Source organism: Homo sapiens, chromosome 8 (assembly GCF_000001405.40).
Source record: "Homo sapiens chromosome 8, GRCh38.p14 Primary Assembly".
Classification (NCBI taxonomy): Eukaryota; Metazoa; Chordata; class Mammalia; order Primates; family Hominidae; genus Homo; species Homo sapiens.
Window position 1 is genome coordinate 76,180,199 of NC_000008.11, and position 22,589 is coordinate 76,202,787.

General features: G+C 33.4%; 1 long non-coding RNA gene across 5 annotated transcripts in view, besides 1 other annotated feature; it reads right to left on the reverse strand.

Moving 5' to 3' along the window:
- LOC102724858 (uncharacterized) overlaps positions 1-22,589 on the reverse strand; it is a 175,348-nt gene that overhangs the window by 46,926 nt on the left and 105,833 nt on the right. The window lies entirely within an intron of this gene.
- Positions 21,676-21,970: a silencer, noted in NCBI's record as "tiled region #13261; HepG2 Repressive non-DNase unmatched - State 24:Quies". NCBI's record gives its function as "represses a minimal TATA promoter and a strong SV40 promoter by Sharpr-MPRA in HepG2 cells {active_cell/tissue: HepG2}" and the evidence as "EXISTENCE:reporter gene assay evidence [ECO:0000049][PMID:27701403]".

A 22,589-nucleotide genomic window follows, 5' to 3' on the forward strand; every position in this document is an offset into this window, starting at 1 on the left:
TAGTTATTTTTACATTTTCTCATAGACATCTTGTGTTTTCCACTATGTATATATGTATATATATGTATATATGTATATATATGTATATATGTATATATGTATATATATGTATATATGTATATATGTATATATTTGTATATATGTATATATGTGTATATATATGTATATATGTATATATATGTGTGTATATATATATATATGTATATATATGGCACTCATTACTTCTTTTCCAATCTGTGTGCCCTTTATTTCCTTTCATATAATTGTCAACACTTGTGAATAAGAGTTTTCAGAGCAGACGTTCTTGCCTTGCTCCCAATCTTAGGGTAAAATCTTTCACCATTGGGTATAGTGTTACATATAGTTTTGGGGGGTTTTTTTCTTAGTTGCTCTTTCTCAGGTTGAGGAATTCCCCTTATATTTCTATTATTCTAATAATTTTTAGCATAAATGGGTGTTACATTTTGTCCAGTTTCTCTATATAGGCTGATACAATTTTCTAGTTTTTCTTCTTTAGTTAATTAATATAGTGGATTACATTGATTGATTTTGAATATTTAACCAGCCACGCATCCCTTGGAATAAACTCCACTGTTCATGGTGTATAATTTGTTCTTTATGTTGCTAAATTCTATTTGGTAATATTATATTAAGAGCTTTGTATCTATATACATAGTTAATATCAACCTGTTGTTTTTTGTAACATCTTTGGTTTTGATATCAAAGTAATATAAGCTTCAAAAAATAAATTGGAAAATGTTTTCACTTCTTCTAGTTTCTGGAAGAGATTGTATAGAATTGATGCTAATTCTTTAAATATCTGGTGACATTTTCTAATTAACCAATCTGGGATTGGGGATTCCTCTGGGGAGAGATTTTAAATTACGGATTCAATTTTCTTAAGAGTTATCTCTATTAAGATTGTCTATTTCTGCTTGAATCTGTTTTGATGTTTGTGTTTATAAAGGAATTTGTTCATTTTACCTAAGTTGTCATATTTATGTGTGTAGAGTTGATCATAATATTCCTTTATTATCCTTTTAATGTCTGCAAGGTCAATAGTGATATCTCCTCTTATATGCCAGATATCGGTAAGTCGTGACTTCTCTCTTGTTTTATCAGTCTTGCTAGACATTTGACAATTTTTATCAATCTCATCAAAGAACGAACTAGTTTCAACAATTTTCTCTTTTGTTGTGCTTTTTCTATTTCATAGATTTTGTTCTTATCTATCCATATCCTTCCATTTGCTGGCCTTGGGTTTACTTTGCTCTGGGTTTTTTAGATTTTTGAGGTAGGATTTTAGATTACAAGTTTTTAATACATGCATTCATTGCCATAATTTTTCCTCTAAGTATTACATTAACTTTGTCTCAAAAATGATGATATCTTGTATTTTCGTTGTCATTCAGTTCAATGTACTTTTAAAATATTTTCTTTTTCTTTGACTCAATGTATTGGTTAGTTTTTGTATGTTTGGATATTTTCTTATCATTTTGTTATCGATTTCTGGTTTGTTTCTGCTGCAGCTGAAGAATCCATTCTGTATGTTGTCAGTTCTTTTAAATGTGTTGAGATTGTTTTATCCCCAAATATATACACTATCTTGAAATATTTCCCATAGGCCCTTTTAAATAGTATGTATTGGACCATTTTTAGGGGCAACGATTAGATACTGTGCTTGATGGTGTTGTTGAGTTCTACACTGTTGCTGATTTTCTGTCTCGTTGTTTATCACTTTTTGACACAAGGGTATTGACGTCTTTAACTATAATTTTGAATTTCTTAACTTTTTTCTTTTAATTTTATTAGTTTATGCTTCACATATTTGCGGCTCTGTTATTTGGTGCATACAAATTTAGGAATACTGTCCTTCATAGTGTGGATTGACCCTTTTATCTTTAAATCAGATTCTTTCCTGTCTCTGGTAATTTTCTTTGCTCTGAAGACTCCCTTATCTAGTTAATATAGTCACTCCTGCTTTCTTTTGATTGTTTGTGTGATATAACTTTTGCCATCTCATTTTTCAACATTTCTATATAGTTATATCTAATCACTGTTTGTAGGTAGAACACAGATACATCTTTTTTTTTAAATCAATTCTGCAAATCTCTGTATTTCCATTGTTGCATTTAGATTATTTATGTCTAATTTAATTACAGGTATGTTAATGCTTAAGTTTGCCATTTTATTTTGTGTTTTCTTTGTTCTCTCTCTCTTTTTTTAATCTGCCTTCCCATGGGTTATTTGAACTTTTTAGCATTCAAGTTTGTTTATTTAGAATGTTTTTAAGTATATCTCTTTGTATAGCTTCTTTAGTCGTTTCTCAAGAAATTTTATTTTATATATATATATATATATATATATACATACATATATATATGGCAATTTACTAGTGTCATTATTTTATCACTTCAAATGAAGTGTGGAATCCTTATCTCCCTTTAAGTCACTTTACTGTACTCCATTTATAATGTAATTGTCTTAAATATTTTCTCTAAGTACACTTAGAACCACATCAGGGACTGTTACAATTTTTGATCCAAATATCCATCATAATTTAGAAAACTCAAGAGAACAAAGTCTATCTTATTTACACATATTTTTACTGAACATGTTCTTTCTTCCTTTCTGATATTCTCAGTTTACTTTGTCATTCCTTTCTACTTATAAAACTTTCTTTAGCTAATTTTTATTGTAGGTCTGCTGGCAAAAAAAAATAGTTTTTCTTCATCAAGGCATTCTCAAGGATATTTTCACTGAATATAACGTTCTGAGCTAACAGTTCTTGTCTTTCAGCACTTGAAAAATGTCACTTTCTTCAAGCCTCCATAGTTTTTAATGAGAAATCTGCTTTCATCAAAATTTGCTTGCTCCTGTTGGCAAGGTGTCATTTCTGTCTTGAGGTTTTCAAATGTTTGTTTAGTTTTCAGAAATTTGACCGTGATGTATCCAGTTTTGTATTTTGAGGGGCTTATCCTGTTAAGGTTAGTCTAGCTTATTAAATCTGTAAATGCATGACTTTTGCCAAGTTTGGGGATTTTTTTCAGCCATTATTTTCTCAACTACTTTTTCATATTAACCCTGTTTCTCTTCTTCTTCTGAGACTCTTGTGACTCAGAATTTAACAAATGACAAATGTTAAGTGTTTTTCATAATCTCACAGATTCCTGAGGCTTTGATCGTCCTTTTTCAATATATTTTTTTTCTGTTTCTTAGATTGGATAATTTCTATTGTTCTTTCATTTCTCTGATTCTTTCTTCCGTACCATCCATTCTTCTTTTGAGTCATTCTAATATGGTCCATACCAAATTCATACGTTGAATCCTAACCCCTACAGAGATGGTGGTAAGAGGCAAGGGCTTTGGGAGATGAATAGGTCCTGAGGGTTCTGCTCTCATGAATGAAATTAGTGTTCTTTTTTTAATTATTATACTTTAAGTTTTAGGGTACATGTGCACAACGTGCAAGTTAGTTACATATGTATACATGTGCCATGCTGGTGTGCTGCACCCAGTAACTCGTCATTTAACATTAGGTATATCTCCTAATGCTATCCCTCCCCCTCCCCCCACCCCCCAACAAGCCCTGGTGTGTGAGGTTCCCCTTCCTGTGTCCATGTGTTCTCATTGTTCAATTCCCACCTATGAGTGAGAACATATGGTGTTTGGTTTTTTGTCCTTGCAATAGTTTGCTGAGAATGATGGTTTACAGCTTCATCCATGTCCCTACAAAGGACATGAACTCATCATTTTTTATGGCTGCATAGTATTCCATGGTGTACATATGCCACATTTTCTTAATCCAGTCTATCATTGTTGAACATTTGGGTTGGTTCCAAGTCTTTGCTATTGTGAACAGTGCCGCAATAAACATACATGTGCTTGTGTCTTTATAGCAGCATGATTTATAATCCTTTGGGTATATACCCAGCAATGGGATGCCTGGGGCAAATGGTATTTCTAGTTCTAGATCCCTGAGGAATCGCCACACTGACTTCCACAATGGTTGAACTAGTTTACAGTCCCACCAACAGTGTAAAAGTGTTCCTATTTCTCCACATCCTCTCCAGCACCTGTTGTTTCCTGACTTTTTAATGATTGCCATTCTAACTGGTGTGAGATGGTATCTCATTGTGGTTTTGATTTGCATTTCTCTGATGGCCAGTGATGATGAGCATTTTTTCATGTGTCTTTTGGCTGCATAAATGTCTTCTTTTGAGAAGTGTCTGTTCATATCCTTCGCCCACTTTTTGATGGGGTTGTTTGTTTTTTTCTTGTAAATTAAAGAAGGCCTGAGAGAGCTTGTGAAAGCATAGCTAGAGGGCACCACATTTGAGGCAGAGAGCAAGCCCTCACCAGACATTAAATTTGCTGGAGACTTTGACCTTTCGATTTCCCAGCATCCAAAACTGTGGACAATAATTATCTGTTGTTTATGAATTATTAGTTTAAGGTATTTTGTTATAGCAGCCTGAATAGACTTAAGACATAATCCTTTGAGTTTTTCATTTTAATTATTGTGTTTGTTAGATAAAACTTTCCATTTGTTTCTTCTTTATTCAGTTGTACCTTTGAGTCCACAGTGGATTGTTTCTGGAATCCTCCATGAATAGCAAAATTTATAGATGCTCAAGTCCCTTATTGAAAATGGCATAATATTTGCATATTACCTATGCACGTCCTCTTATACACATTAAGAAATCTGGATTACTTATAATACCTAATTCAACATAAAAGTCATTCTAATAGTTTTGTACCGTATTAACTTTTCTTAAAAATTTGCATTATTTTTAATTGTTATATTATTATTTTATTGTTTTTTTCAAATATTTTTTATCTGTGGTTTGTTGAATCTGCACTATGTAAAAACCATGAAGATGGAGGGCTGATTATACCTTCTTTTTCTTTTCTGAAACCTACTATTTTTAAAAATTTGATTCAAGTATCTTTGTAATTGCTCATTGAAGAATTTTAATGATGGCTGCTTTTAAATCTTTGTCAGATAATTTTAACATCTCTATCACTTTGGTGTTGGCATCCATTGATAAACTTTTTTCACTTAGTTTGAGATCTTACTAGTTCTTGGTATGACAAACTATTTCTTATTAAACCTGAACCTTCAAGCATTATGTTAAGATATTCTTGATTTTATTTAAACTTCTGTTTTAGATGGATTCCTCTGACACTTCTCTAACAGGCAAATAAGAGGGTACCACCATATAACTGCAAGGTTAGATGGCAGTACAAATTCTTTCATGGCTTCTTTTGATACTAAAGGGAATGGGTTAGTATTACTGCAGAGTTGGTGTGGAAGTTCATGTTTCTTACTAGAATTTTCCTGATTATCTGTGTTCAAGGCTATGCAACTCAAAGCTTAGCAATACTTTGTAACTGTGTCCCATACATCTGTGGATATTGCTTAAAGGCACCCATAGCGTTTCTCGTGTCTGAAAGGGGAGTGAAGTAAGCCACCATTTCCTCAGACAGCCTCTCCTAGTTCATCCAGAATGGCTCAGATTTTACCTCTTTTCTGTTCTGGGGCTCAACATAGAATTTTATTTGAAGAAAAAATTCTGCCAATTAAAAAGTGCTTGAAAATATCTTAAATTTCAATTTTTCTCAAATGAAATTCTACAAGGGAATTAAGTTCTGTAAGATATTATCTTAGTGACTATTTTCTCAGTTCTCCCCAGAATGGTACATGGCTAGCAATACTGTAGATGCATAGATTAGTTTATTAATTACATACACTAAATATCTTAGAATGTTGGAAATTAATTCTGTTGTAGTAGTGAAGTGAGAAAGCTTGCAACCATCATATGTTGTCAAGAGTTTGCACATGGCATATTCCAAATAACTAAGACTTTAAAAAAGAATTAGCACTATTTCAGAAAAAATAATTATACCAATTAACTTGAAAAAAGAAATTTGTTTTTGTTCTAAAGGAGGAAGCACAAGTAGTTTTGAGCATTTAATCAAATTATGCTCTACCAGTTACAAAGAAGCAACAAACAGTTCTAACTATGCCAAATATCTACTTAAAATCTAAATACAAAGAATAAAGATAATATTGAGTTTGTGGATTGCATTAGTCTGTTCTCATGCTGCTGACAAAGATGTACTCAAGACTGGAGAATTTACAAAATAAAGAGATTTAAAGGACTTACAGTTACACGTGGCTGGAGAGGCCTCACAATCATGGCAGACAGAAAGGAGAAGGAAGTCACACCTTACACGGATGACAGCAGGCAAAGAGAGAGAGCTTGTGCAGGGGAAATCTCCCTCATAAAACCATCAGATCTCGTGAGACTCATTCACCAACATGAGAACAGCACAGGAAAGACCTGCCCCCATGATTTAATTACCTCCCACTGGGTCGCTCCCACAACACATGGGACTTCAAGATGAGATTTGGGTGGGGACACAGCCAAACTATACCATGGATGTTATGCAAAATTCATGAAAATATTATTGGTCAAAGCCTGAAAACCTTAATAATCAAACTCATAGAGTACCTTATTTTCTGTATGCTCACAGATGAAAAGGATATAACTTTTCATCCTTATTCTATATCTTTTTTTATTCTACATGAGCACTGTGGCTATGCCACTCAAGTTTGTCCCCACTGGGAGGCAAGAGAGTATTCCTAGTGTGCTGTGGTACAAGATTTGGTACCATAACTATTGTGATTCAGAAGACAGAAAATGCACTCCTCCTTCCATTTTATCACAAGATGGCAGATAATACAATGAAGTCAACTAGTAGGGGCTATGTGTCACAGTGAAATGAGCCATTCAGAATCGACCTTCCCAGCCTGAAACCATGGCTTTTCCATACCTCTTTTCATCAAAAAACATGGATGAACATTGAGACACAAAGAAGCAAAACATATTAAGTGCAGTGACAATGTCTACTTCAATGAGCCTATCAACATTGCCTGAATGAGGAAACACAGATATTTACTCAGAGGACTCACTAGTACCATTAGCAAGTTCTGGGGACTACTCAGTCTCTGAGTTTCAGTACTGACAACAACATTACATTCTAACAACATTTTCTACAAATCAACGGTGGTGCAATCAGAGTCTCAGGCTAGTTAAGGGCTACAAAGATGAACATATCATAATAAAAATATTTTGACATACCACCAAAAAAGTTTAATTTTAAATGCTTAAAAATTTTTCCTGCTTTCTGTCAGAGGACAAAGAGCCACCTTATTTTATTTGAGAAATGATTTTTTTTTCTTTTAAGCACCAAGAACCAGCTAAGACAAAGTATACAGGAAATCATAAAAGTCATTCTAGGACCATAGTTTTCATTGTAACCAGATCAGTATAGGACATAAGAATCCTCTTCACTAAAAAAATATAAAGAAGTTTATGTATAAAATCTGGGTTATCAAAGACCAGCTGACACTAAATGTTTTGCTCCGTATCTTAATTTGATCTCAAAGACATCTCCATCTCAAATAAATAAATAAATAAATGAAACAAAAACAATTCTTCAAGGTCCCCAACAGCAAGCGCAGAGAAGAGACCTGGTGATTCTATAGCTACTAGAACATCATAGAGAATAGCAAAACAATAGAGGATTCCCTTGTAATATAAATGGGCATAAGATAGGTTATAACCCAAACTATGTTTCTTATTTCTCTTTTGGGCTGTTTAGTGTTTGGTCTCAATTAGTGATCCTGATGACTCCATTGAATGTGGCAAAATGTAAAGGTTTTGGTTGCAATAAAAGTATGAATCAGAAGCACTTCAACCTCTACCTGCTTACTGAAACCATAAACAGGATCAGCACTAATTTTGCGCAGATCCCCGCTTGCCTAGCTTTCCATTTTCTGGGAAGACCCATATTCTTTGTATCCATACTCTATGAGTTGTTGGAAGATTCTTTGACATTTTAAAATATATTTTTAGATTATTTTTTTTCAGTTATGTTCTGGTCTATTGAATAAATATACATATTTGAAATGCATTTTGAATATTATAGTTTTACACTATGGATAAAACCACAGAAAAGTAAAAATTCATGTTGTTTGCTGAGATCTTGATCTTTTCCCTATTCCCCTCAAATGGTAATGAAAAGGTAAAAACAGATTTAGTGTTCTAGTTCTATTATGATAAAATATTTCATTGTTTTTAGAGTTACTGATTTGAGAGACACATTCATAACAAGGTTATTATTGTAATTCTACCTGGAATGTCAGTAATAATTTATAGGAAACCTATAGAATATGTAAATCAGTAGCAGAAGAAGCATTGTCAAAAATACAGGATAAATTTTCATGTCCATATGAAATTCAGCAAGACCTCTTCTGAAAATGGTGACAGGGAGGGGAATTGAAAGGAATAAATTATTGGGCTAATTTATATTATTAATTGTTATGCCAGTGTTTGGAGAAAGAGTTTAAAATGAACTGAACAATGTAAGTGTTACAGCTAATGAATCATCAAGATTTTTAAAGATAGCATTTTGTTAATAATACTAGTAAAAAATTAAATCTACATTAACAGATAAACTGAAATCAAACATATATTGTATTCGGCAAACAATCATCAGAGGCCTATAGGGATCCTACATTGAGAGTGAGAAATTTTCCTGCTTGGAGTCTACTAAAGCAAAATAGAGTTAGAAAATAAAATTAAGTAATTGTGCTGTGTTTAGGCTATGGGGAAGAAATAAATAAAAAGCTAATTGGACAGAAGAGTAGCAAGAAATCAGAGAAACCAGATTTCCTTGTTGCTAGCGGTGTTTTGCTTCAATAAATTAGAAAGGTGTAAATTACACTCCAAATTGAAATTCAATCTACTACCATAAATAGAAAAAATACATCTACGTTTGCATTTCTGTCCATGGAACATTTAGATCTCTGACGGAAGGACCACCTGATGTCAGAGCTCTTTCAAATAAAATCCTTTCAGAAGCATATAGCTTTCGATGAAATGAAAATGTGATGGAGATGGAGTCTTGATAATGTCTGTTTTAAAATTGCTGTTTAAAAGAATGTTATAAGAAGGTGAAACTTGTCCAAGGACTTGGGAAAGATTTAAGGTCACAGCCAGAGTCTATTAAAGGCTAGTTACTAAAGAGTAGGTAACATGTTGATCACAAATAAGTGGAAAAAATTATAAAACACTGGTACATAATTATATCAGCAGTGATCCTACACCCCAAACCAAAATTTCTTTATATTTTTGTTATGATTCAGAAAATTTTCCAAAATCTGGAAACTGTCCCCATTCTTAAAACCATGAGCTTTGGCTAACTGGCTAAGACTACTTTTAGCTTTAATATTTTATGATTTGAAGATTTATATCAAGAACAGTAAAGCTTAATGAAAGAACCAAAGAACCAGTAGTTCTAATTTAAGGCCTAAGGTGAATTGGGGCAATGTGTTTGTTTTTTATTTGCTTAACATGTTATTAAATTTCCATTTTCTTCTAGGTCTATAATTTAGTGAGAGGTTTAAAAAATAAATATTTAAAAAATAATCGCATGACATTATGTTCAAAATCATTGTCAATTTCTATGATTATGCAAATAAAAATGAAATATTTTACATCAATTGACTGAAAAACATTGGGAAGATAGGTAATGCCAAGTGTTAGTGGAGACATAAAGAATCAGAGACCCTCTTATATTGCTGATGGAAGCATAGACTGGTAGAATCAGCATGGGGAACACACTGGAACCAATCAGACAAATTAAGCATTATCCCATTCTATAAGCATATCATACCCTCTCAGGGTAATCATTTCCCAAAGAAATGTGACACTAGCCCAGATCACTAGCATGTTCATTAAAATATTATTTATAGTGGCAGAAATTGGAAGCAATTTCTGTGACCATCACTATATAAAAAGGTGAAAAGGCAAGAATACATACTGTTGACTAAAGCAATGTAGACTACATACAACATGGAGATATCTAAAAATACGCATTGTCATGAAAAAAGAAATAGACTATCACATTACATGAAACTCTTTAGACGGATCAAAAGTATTTGCAAAAATAAGAACAGAAAACTATTTTCTTAGATTACAAACACAAAACATATACATTAAAACTCAGTAGAATGATTTTGTGGCAATAGGAAAAGGAGATTATGATTATAAAAGAGAATAAATAGCAATAATAATAATAAATGAAACAAGAATGATAGTGTGCCATGATTTGAGGAACACAATAATCAACCCTCTAGACATCTGGGGTCTAGAAGAAATAAAATAAAGAAAATTTAACAAATATTTTATTCGAAATAAAATAAATTAATAGCCAAAATTCTGCCCTAAATTAAAAACAAAACAAAAATTTCTATGGGTATAGTGCATGCTGATTAATATATAGCCTCTATGTATCAGGCATATGCTATCCATTTTTAATGCATCATCCCTTTTCATTTTCACAATTCCATAAAATAGACATTCTTATCCTCAATTTACATTTGGTGTAACTGAGTCTTAAAAGGCTCATTTTTGCCCAAAGACCTACAGCTTTTTTGTGTTAGAAGCAAGAGTCAAACCCAGATTTGTTAACACTGAAGCTCATCTCTTTAATCTCTATAAAATGTACAGTCAAGCTTCTCAAAAAAGTAGCCCACATTTGCTATGTCTTATAAGAGGGTAAGACTTGTCCAAGGACTTGGAAAAGACTTCAGGTGGCAGCTAGAATCTATTATGGGACAGTTACTAAGGAGTAGGTAACTTGTTGATCAGAGAGAAGTGAAAAAAATTGTACAACACTGGTTCTAAACTATATCAGCAGTGATACTACACCCCAAACCAAAATTTCTTTGGTTTGGAATATTTGTATTCCCTGTGCTGCCCCCTCCCCCATTTTTTAAATTAATTTCATCCCCACTATCCCTAGACAAGTGCCCTCCGTAACTTTCCACATGATCTCATCATTACCAAATCCACTAACACTAACCTGCTGCATTGGATAATGATCAGGCTCTTGGCTCCCTTCACTTTTGTCCCACTACTCTCATCTAGTTCTCTTCATTTCTTCAAAATACCCTGACTCCTTTGTCCAACTTGTTAAATGTTGATGTTCCCCAAGAATTTAATCTCAGAATCTTTAGGGACTGGTACTCTCTCCACATGTTCACCATGTGATAATCTCAGGCAATCATAGTTCATAGATTGATGACTTCTAAATCCATTCCAAATCCACCAAACTATTGAAACCAGACAATATGTTTTTCTTTTTGTCTACCTTCTATGATCAATCACTGGACAAGTCTTGCATATTTTAGCTTTTAAATACTTTTCTAATTCATACACTTGTTTAAACCTATTAACCAACCTTGATTCAGACTTGCATTATTTCTTGACTACATTATCATAGTAGCTACTTACCTAATCTCCTTTTCTCTAATTTCGTCCTCCTTAACCTGATTAACTTGAAGTCATACTAATCCAGCTAAACTACCAGTGGGAAGCATCTCTTCCAAACTCTTCAATCATTTTTGCATTCCCTACAGGATTATCTTAATTTCCTTCACAGACCAACAAATTATCCTGTGACATGGTTCCTACACTGCTCTTGTGCATCCCATTTTATTATCTTGGGCTACTGAACTAATAATTCCTTGTACCAGGCTGTTTAGTTCACTTTTTTGTAACATGCTCTGCCCAGCAAATTCTTCCTATCTTTCTTTTCCTATTTTATACTTTTTTACCATTAAAGTATCATCTTCTCCATAAAGCCGTGTGTTAATACCTATGACCTATTATATCATCTTGGGGGACTTTGGGCAAATAATATCTAATAATACTTTTATCATATTACTAAAGTAGAAACATGTAATCTATATAGAACTTTTTTCCCACAAAGAGTTCAGCATTGTACTAAAATTCATTTAACTACATTAACCTTAATGTAGACTTGAGTGTATTATGAGCATAAAATTTCATTTTGAAGATATGGTTTCCTTTCTGCAGAGTCTATAAAATAAAATTTTGCATTTTGATTTCAATTACATGTAACATTTTGGGGGAGGTAAAATTGAAGGTGGAATATAGCTAAAATCCACAAGATCTTAACGGTTCTATAATTATAACTAAAAATTCCAATACTACTTTCCCAGAAACTGATAGAAAAAGTAGACCAAAAAAAGAGTAAGTATATAGTCAACTTCAAAAACACTATCAATCAACATACATACTTGATATTTGTAGAATTATCTACAAAAAACCTATAACTTTTTTTTTGGGTACACATGGAAAATTCACAAACATAAACCATATGCTATGTCATAAAATGTGTCTCGATCAATTTGAAAAAAATTAAATCATACATAGTATGTTCTCTGACCACAACAGAATTAGAAATCAATAATAGAAATATACAAGAAAAATTCTTAAATATTTGAAAATTAGACTACACACTTCTAAATAAGTTAGCATTTGAAGAAGAAATCATTACAGAAATTAGAAAACATTTTGAACTGAACTCTAATGGCAACTCATGAGGTCAAAACCTGTGGGATGTTGAGGAAGTAGTGTTGAGAGAGACAGAGCTTATATTAAAAAGAAAAGACAGATAACATCAGTGTTTTCAAGTATTCACTTGAATAAACTAGAAAAAAAACAACAAATTAAAACCAAAGCAAAGAAGGAAGAATTTAACTGAAAAAATAATTAAATGATCAGTTTTTATGTTTATAAAAATATTTAATTATCTCTTATCAAATATATTTAATACTGTATAAAGAATAATACATCATAACCAAATATATTAATTTCAGAGATGAAAAGTTGGTTTAACATTCAGGAATCAATCATGAATTTCACTATATTAATATAAAAAGAAAAACATAATCATTTCAAATCATGCAGAAAAATAACTCAACAAAATTCAAAACCCATTCTTGATTAGAAAAACTGTCAGTAAACATGAATGGAATGAAAATTTCAATTTAATAAAGGACATGTTAATTGTGAAAATCTGCATGATTTTCCCCTAAATTTCCAGATTAGCCAAGGATGTTCCCTCTCACTACTTTTATTCACTACTGTTCTGCACTAGTCGAATAATAGAAAAGTAATAAAGACTTACCGATTGGAATTAAGAAATAAAACATTTTTTCAACAATGACATGGTGATCTAGACAGAAAAACCTGAGTAATCAGCAAAAAACTACCAAACTGATAAGTGAGTTTAGCAAGGTAATGGTTCACAAGATCAATATAAAAAGTCAATTGCATTTCTATATACTAGCAATCAACCATGGGAAATAAAATTTTAAAATGCCAATTTCAAAGGCATAATATTTATAATATAATTAATAGTAAATTAACCAAAATATGTATATAACATATAAACTACAAATGACTGGGGGAAAGTAAAACAGACTTAAATAAATGGAGAAGTATACCATGTTGTTGGTTTAAGTGATATATTATTAAGATGTTTATTTCTCCCCAAATCTATCTACAGAGTCAAAACAATTCCAATTAAAATTCCATCATGTTTGTTTGTACTGATTGATAAGTTAATTCTAAAATTTATATGAAAATGCATAGAAGAATAGCCAACATGATTTAAACCAAACATAAAAACAGAGAACTTCTTCTACATGGCTTTAAGACTTACTATAATGCTGTATTAGTCAAGGGACTGAGTAAGAATCAATGGAATAGAATAGTGTGTCTCCAAAATCACACTGACATATGCCTGGAAAATCAGTTTTTCATAGTGATGCTAAGGCAATTTAATGGAGAAAATAAAATATTTTCCCCCCAAAAACAGTTAAATAATTAAATATCCACATGGAAACAAAACAACTTCGAACATACCACATACCACACATAAAAATTCACTCAAAATGTAGTATAGACACAAAAGTGAAACTAAAGCTACAGAATTTCTAGAAGAAAACATAGGGGAAAATCTGAATAACCTTAATCTAAGGAAAAGTTTCATGGAAAGGACACATAGATGATTAGTAATAAAAGAAAAAGATATTTTGGAATGTATAAAATGTAAAGTCTGCTTTACACCAGAGATTGCTATGTAAGTAAAAAGATAAGCCAAATACTGAGATAAAATACTTGCAATATATATCTGACAAGAGGATTTACATTAGAATATAAAACAAACTTTAAAAATAAGATGAAAAATTAAAATATGGAAAAAAGATTTGAATACACATCTTACAAAATATGCTAAAAGCTAATAAGTGTATTAAAAGATGTTCTGCATTTTTGCATAGAAATACAAATTAAAATCACAAGGAGATACAAGCAGACCCCTACAAGACTGGCAATACCATGTGTTTGTGAGGATATAGAGCAACTGGAATTCTTGTGTAATGCTTGTAAAAACATGAATAGTAAATCCATTTTGGAAAACTGTTCATCAGTTTCTTACAAAGTCAAACATCCACTTACCATATGACCTAACAGTTCCATTTCTATATATCTACCCAAGACAAATAAAAATATGTCAACAACAAAGCTTGTACAAAATTTTTAGAGCAGTTTTATTCATCACAATCCTAAACTGGAATCAATTCAAATATTCATCAACAGGTGAATGGATAAGCAAAGTTTCATACGTTCCTAAAAGGAAAGATAAGTCAGCAATTAAGCCCTCTGATACACAAAACGGCAAGGATGCATTTAAAAAAAAATGAGGTCAGATACAGAAAAGTACCTTCTGTGGTATTCCATTCCTGTGAAATTCTAGAATAAGTAAACTCATCTTCAGGGAAGTAGGGTTGTTAGGGTGTGGTGGGATTCACTGGGAAGAAGCATGAGGGAATTTGAGGGCAGGTGTTGGAATATGTTTTATATCTTGATTGAGGGGTAGTTTTTAGTATATGTATTTGTCAAAACTCATCAAACTGCACATTAAAAGTCAGCATAATATGCTTTAGGTAAATTATACCTCAGTAGTGTTGATTTTCAAAGTTAATGAAACTGTACAGTATAAAATGGTAACACACTATTTACAACAATCTGATAATCGGGAATAATTCTGAAAGAGTTGAATTGTGGTGATTTAATAAGTGTCAGTCACAAATACTTTTTGAGAATTTAAGTAAAATACTTTTGAACTATAACTTTAAGTGTTTAAAAGAGGGAAATGGAACTAATATTTACCAGTTATATATTATTCAGTGAATTATTTCATCTATTCCTGACTTTGAGCATGCAAAATGAGAGACTGAGAGATAGTAAGAAAACTAACCAACGTATACATCTTCCGCAATGGCAGATCTAGTGATAAATCCAAGTCTATCTGACTTCACAAGTTGATTATTCATGTAATTCCATGTTGAATTCCTTTGTGCAAACTTAAAATCTTTATGAATATCCCCTATATTGTGAGATGATATTTTGAGTTCTCAGAAATTCCATGAGACATTGGGCAGTGGGCACTGCTTTAGAAATATTTAACATAAAGTTTTCCTCTACTTTTCTTCACAGATTTTTCTCTGTTTGCCCAGAATTTGTGACTTATCCTAAATTTCAACATTAAACCTCACTAATTTGGATCAAGGAGATAACAGTTGGGGTAGATGAGTGAAAAGTCCAAATTATAAGATACTCTTGAAGAATCGTAGCTTCATCAGTTTTAGGTAGAGGGTGTAACTTGAACTGTCCTAATCCAGGTCACCTAACAGAAATTCTGTGGTAGATCAGATTAGAATGATTTCCAATTAACATACCAAAGCACTCTAAAATCCTATTGATTGAAGCTTGTATTGCAGATTCCTTTCATGTGAAAAACACTAAATTGTTTAAAATTTAGTTTGTATCCCTAACATAAATATTTTCATTTTATATCTCATTCTTTTAGACATCTTTTTTTTGACAATAAAAAGAATAAAATTTCTAAAAAGTCACTTCAGAATTCTCCACAAATGTTAAATTAGTAAAAGCAGAATTAGAGAGGCTTAGCTTCAGGAAAAAAAATTCAAAGGTAGTTATTAAAATGTCTAAAATCTAGACTGATGCTAAAAGGCTGATATCAAAGTTAGCCCCTCTGAGTTGAAAGAGAATTCATATGTATGACAAGTTCCAAAGATTCCTCCTGCAAGAGAAAATATTTGCAGTAGGGGACAGAGGAAAGCCTCTTTTATATTAATTTCTTGAGCTGCTTGTAGCCAGAACCATCCCCTCTGCTGTTCCCTGTCACTTTTGGAGGTCTTTGAGCCAAGCCCAAGCTGTCTGCCTGTCCCAATAGTGGTGTTTTCTCTTCAAAGAACCGTTGCCACAGCCTCGCAGTTCTGAGCAGGAATTGAAAAGCCTTTGAAATCGGTGCAGCCTCACTGCACAGCTAGTAATAAGCATTAGAGAAAAACATGCAGCTCATTTGTTTAAAAGTTCATTCGCTTCAGTGTGATTTAGACAGATGTGAGGTGGGTTTTGCTTAGTGCTGCTCAGCCTGATGGCAAAGTAGAGCTAGGTCTCCTTTCAAAGACTTCCTCAGTCCCTGCCCATTGCTGAGCTTCTGCAACAATGGGGCTTTGAAAGAGGAAAAAAAGGAAGAAGAAAAAGAAAGAAAGAAAGAGAAAAAGAGAAAGAGATGACACCAGTGGGAGAGGCTGACAGCTCAGTCCAAACTCAAACAGCCCTTCTAGTGTCCAGGACAGAAGTGCACGTCTGAAGGTGGGGATGAGGTCTGGGTTCAGAACAGCCCAAAGAATTAATTTAAAAGAATTTCCCCACCCATTTTCTGTAAAGGCAGCAGCAAGCAGCTCTGGTAAAATAGTTCCCAGATCACAGGGCAGTTAGCCATGTAGATTCTGCTGTATTCCCAAAGAATACTATTTCCCGGAAATAAATCTGAAAAACAGTAGATGCTTCAGTTATTTTCTACCAGGCACAAATAACAAATAAATGCCATCCATATTTTTCATTGAATAGAGGATCTGAACAATCAACACACATTACTAACAACAGTTTATTTCCTCTAGAAACAATGCTCTTTGGAAAGAGGCTTGTGTTTATTAGTCATGATGCATGCAGAGTAACAGTCATTTTGAGATGTGGAGCATTCAGTGCAATCAAGGTATGTTTTTGCTAACCTACACAGACATATTGATAGCATTGAGGTATGATGCTAATTCCACAAGCAAATGGATCTATTGTTATGATCTTGCTGAAAGCTTAGAAATTGCTTTTATATTTAAAACCTTATTTTGAGAGCTGTCAGGCTACAGATAATACAAATTCAGTTAAAGTGTGCCAGAGATTTTTGAAGGAAATCTGAGCAGGTACAAATGAAAAAATATAATGTATATAATATGAATATGATGTATTTAAAAAAACATTTCTCGGTTAGCCTTTTAAATTACACCAAATGTGTATACATAATTAGAACAACCATATAATTTAATAGCTTGTAAACTAAAAGAAAGCTTCAAGAAATGAGAAAGCTAATTAGAAATGGGGACATGGGAAGACAATAATTTAATTAGAACTGAAATTGCCACATGCCTATAATTAAACAGTTGTGTGATAATTTGAGTGTGGCTAAATCCAGTGAAAATTTAGTCATCCACTGGAATGCTTTGTGAATGAATAGAAGTTAGCATATCTTGAAGATCCAATGAAGCAACCTGTGAATTAGGTCTGTAGAATGAAATGACTGTAAGTAAATCTTAGGGGAGAGTCAACTTGGAGTTGAACAAGAGCGTTTGAATCCTGTCTTCATTGCCTATAGTTAAATAACCTTGAGCAATAAGTAACTGGGCTTCAGGATGGATTGCTCAGAAAGCAGATTTTGAGGTAAATTCTAGCATTCAGGATATTTATGAAGGTGTGCCCTTGTAACGGACATTTGTAGAAAAGAGGGGAAAGAGACAGGAGTGGGTGGAGGAAGAAGTCAAGCTGCGACGCCTGTCTTGCTGAAGCCCCAGATGAAAATCACAGAACTCGGGAGCTCAAGTGGCTCTTTAGGGATAGCCAACTTTATATTCTAGCATCTATCAGTCATTGGATGAGGAGCACTGAGAGAAGAGGTTTAACCTTGGGAAAGGAGCTCTCATCATTGAGAAAGTTCCTGAGGAGCTCATACCTGAAGGCTGTCTGCTGATAGCACTCCTAACAGTGGGGGATGTGAGTGGTACATGTTGATGTCAACCAGAGTAATGGTTCTCAGCCACAGTTAGCTTTCTATAAAATGAATATAACAATACCTACAACTCATAGGTTTGTCCTGTTGGACAGTGCCTAATGAATGGTTGCAATTATTATACATTTCAAAATGGACATCATTATTTGAAGACCGACTAGGAAATCATCCTACAATTGATTACATAAAATAACATTAAAGTAATATTTTAATTACAAAAAAAGAATATGCAACTACTAAGTGTTTATTACCATTCTCCTTATTATTTATAAATATTACAAAAGTTCTAAATAGTAGGTGAATAGCATCTCAGGACATTTAAAGGGTGCAGCTAATTCTCGGCTCTCAGTGGCTCAAATATGTAGTCTGGTGCATAATCTGTAGTAGTATTGTTTGATGTACTTAAAGTAACTGCTTTGATACTGTTGAATATGACATCATAGACAATGGCTCTTGTGCCCTAGCAGAACTGCTGTCCCTTAACTTTTATTAACTCAAATATGTAATACCACTGATCTTTTTTGAAGCCCTCTGATACTTCATGGTGTCTTCTTGTACCCAAGACCAAGTCTTAATAGGTTATTTTTTCTATTCATAGTTTAGCAATGCAGGAATATTTGCTGTTTAGCTGTAAGGAGCTGACTCATTTTTTAATGGTACTGTCATTTCATAGATAGGCTCTGTTTGTACTATTTGAGTATTAGATACGATGCTATAAAAAGAAACTATATGTACTGTATACTTTTTTCTTTTTGTTGCATTTAAATATTAAGACTAAGTTTATTAAGACAATAAAGCCAATAGAGAATACATTACCAATGTGCTTCTTCAATGTTTCAGCAGCACAGTATTTTAAAGTCTGTGGGAGTCTGAAATCTTTATGTCTCACATATTATTTTGAGCAATTATCACCTAGTTAGAAATATAAAACCAGAAAAAAAAACCATGTCACACGAATTCTTTCCTTTGCAGATTCAGAGCAAAAGACTAAAGGTTTGAAAAAAAATATTGATTGATAAATGAAAAGAGTCTTCTTGCATATTCTATTTTCTTAATCGATGATACATTTCAGTGTGTTACTTTCAGAGAAAAGCAAAATTATCACTGATACATGTGATAGTATATTTGTAGTCAACTTTATCACAAAATTTTTCATGCAGAATAAATCGTTGACAATGATAAGTTGTCTTACTGCCTTGTAGCTTCACATAAAAATAGATATTTTCAGTATTTTTAAAGTGTCAAAAGTTAATCATTCTTTTGGCTTAATCATAGATGTTCAGATTTACTTTACTCTTAGTATTTTAAGTTGCCTTGTATTAATTTATCTTGACTAACAAACAATTTTATGACTGAGTCAGAATAAAACTATTTTGATCTAGATTATTATTCAATTACATCTACCTCATAATGTTCAAAGCAACTACCATAATGAAGATGGACCTGTCTTGAATGTCAAAATTCTAAACACAGAATATTTGGGGGTGGGAGGTGGACATGATTTATCACCAGTCTGAGACAACAGATGGAAAGATAGATGATTATAATAAGGATGAAAGTATCCTGAGAAAACACACATTGAAAACAAAGTTGCATAAAAACAGCCAGGATGGTGAAAGCACGGCGAGGTGTATGGAAATCAGCAATTAGTTCCCACAAACTCATGTGGGGCATCTTCTTTGGGGCAGGCCCTGCCCCACATACTACATGTGCATTTGATAGATGGTAAAATTATAGCATTAGAAAAATAGATGCAGGATTTTTTTTTTTTTTGAGACGGAGTCTGGCTCTGTTGCCCAGGTGGGAGTGCAATGGTATGATCTCGGCTCACTGCAACCTCTGCCTTCCGGGTGCAAGCGATTCTCCTGTCTCAGCCTCCTGAGTAGCTGGTATTACAGGCATCTGCCCTCATGCCTGGTTAATTTTTATATTTTTGTAGAGACAGGGTTTCACCATGTTAGCCAGGCTGGTTTTGAACTCCTGACCTTTGGTGATCTGCCCTCCTCAGCCTCCCAGAGAGCTGGTATTACAAGTGTGAGCCACTGCACCCAGTCAGATGCAGGAATTTTAACAAGGAAAGAATCTCATTCTCTCTTTAAGATTCTAGACCAAGAGACAGAGAAAATTTAGTGATGTTTCTAAGGTAACAAAGTTACTTAGTGGAATCTGAACCAAAATTCCAATCTCTTGACATCAGTTTGGTACTCATTTTCTTCACCATTCTAGATTCTATCATTATGGATATTTCTAAAAATTATATGTGGTATTTTCCAACATTAGCTTTATGTAGGACATGATAGAAGAGTCTTTCCTGGAGCATGCTCATATTAACTTGCTCAGATCCTAAGTCAACCAAACATATTAAGATGGGATTTAAAAAATAAGGAGAGGGCCTTTGTGTTATAAGATGTTTGAGAACAGTACAAAAATCACAAAAATGAAAATGTTTGTAAGAGTAGGATTAGAAAGACACATCAATGGAACCGTTTTAAAACAGGTTTTATTAGTAAGGTATGATGAGGCCAACAGATCAGGAGATGACTGGCATTGAATGACAGTTTGTAACTCACAGTTACCAAGAGAAATGGAGATGTCATGCCAGGCGGGGCCACATGAGAAGGCACTGTGATCAGTCAGGAGACATGAGTAAGGGATAATGTGGGTGGAAGCCTTTATTGTGGTTTCCAGAGGAAGGAATGGATAAGGCAGGATAAGCGGGCATGAGATTGGCCTGTTTAAATAATTTCAGTGGGCTCTGGGGTGTAGGAATTGTCTCTAGTTTTCTGGTACTGGCACCTGGAGTGATCAGGGAAGGGAAATAGTGGCCCAGAGTGTAAGCAAAATAGAGGAAGTGATGGGGATGGGTGAGCTCTGATTTGTTTGGTTTGTATAGGAAAGGCACACTTCCGGGAAAGTCATTTACTATTCCAGGAATTGGCTAGGCCTGGGACAAACAATCCCTTCAGAGTCAGCAAGTCCCCAGATGTCAAAACATCAAAAATGGTTAATACAAGAACAAAATAGAACATCTAAAATCAGAATCAAAAATACCACACATTTACTGTAAGATTAAGAGAGCTTTAAAATTAGCATGAACAGGGCTGTGAAAAATGTAGGATTTACATGTAAACTTTACATGTTGTAATATTTATATGTATCAAAATGTAATCATAATAAATAGAATTTTATTAACACAGATTAACAAGGATAAATTCCTGCCAACTGTTGTAACAGGGGCTTTCTTGCAGGGTATATCTACTTTGAGGTGTTTCCATGGAACCAATTCTGACATCTTAAAATTCCCTAGGAAAATGGCCCAAGAATGTGGAACCAGAGTAATATGAAAATACTCTTTCAAAGGTCTTCTTGTCAAAATTTTAGAGACTATCACGTTTTCTTCTAGATTAATGTGATATCATATTTATTTTATGAAAGGTAGTCTTTCATAAACTAATCCATTACTTAATAGAAGCAATAATGTTAGTATAAGTAACATGAAGACATTCTCCATTGCATAAGCTTACATCAGACCAGAATAACCCACTGACAGTTAACAGCCTAATATTCATAAATGATATAATAAGCACCCTATTATTTACACCTTTAACCTAACACAGGTATGCTCTAAGGAAGGACTGCAAAAAGTAAAAAGAACTCGACAAATCATGCCCTGCCTGTTTACCAAAAACATCACCTCTAGCATTACCAGTATTAGAGGCACTGCCTACCCAGTGACTTATGTTCAATGGCCGTGGTATCCTGACCGTGCAAAGGTAGCATAATCACTTGTTCCTTAACTAGGGACTTCTATGAATGGCCACACGAGGGTTCAGCTGTCTCTTGTGAAAGGTAGTCATTCATAAAATAAATATGATATCACATTAATCTAGAAGAAAATGTGCTGATCTCTAACATTTCAAAAAGAAGACCTTTGAAAGATTTTGGTGGAAGATATAGTTTGTTTCCAAATAGTCTAGGATCAAGAGATGATTTACCCTGATCACTCCATTAATTTAATATAACTTTTTCTTTCACTGACACAATTGCATAGTCTAGATTGCCTAAGTTCTAGTAACAACACTGTTACAGTTTCAATTTCTGGAGATTTTCACATATTATTCTCTCAAGGTGTCCAGTGGTGATATAATATTCCCACACCCTTGAATTTATTCCTTGGACGTTAAAGAACTCTGTAAACCTAGCAGAAATTGCAATGTCTGACTAGATCCATGGGAGTTCTAGTTTAGAGAAGGTCTCAGGCACTTTGTAGTAGGTCATCACTTGCACACCATGAAGAGTATTTTCATATTAATCTGATTTCACATTCTTGGGCCATTTTCCTGGGCATTTTAAGATGTCAGAATTGGTTCCATGAAAACACCTGAAAATACTCCTGTGATATACCCTGCAAGAAAGCCCCTATTACAACAGTTGGCATGAATTTATCCCCATTAATCTGTGTTAATAAAATTTATGCAAGTAAATACTTT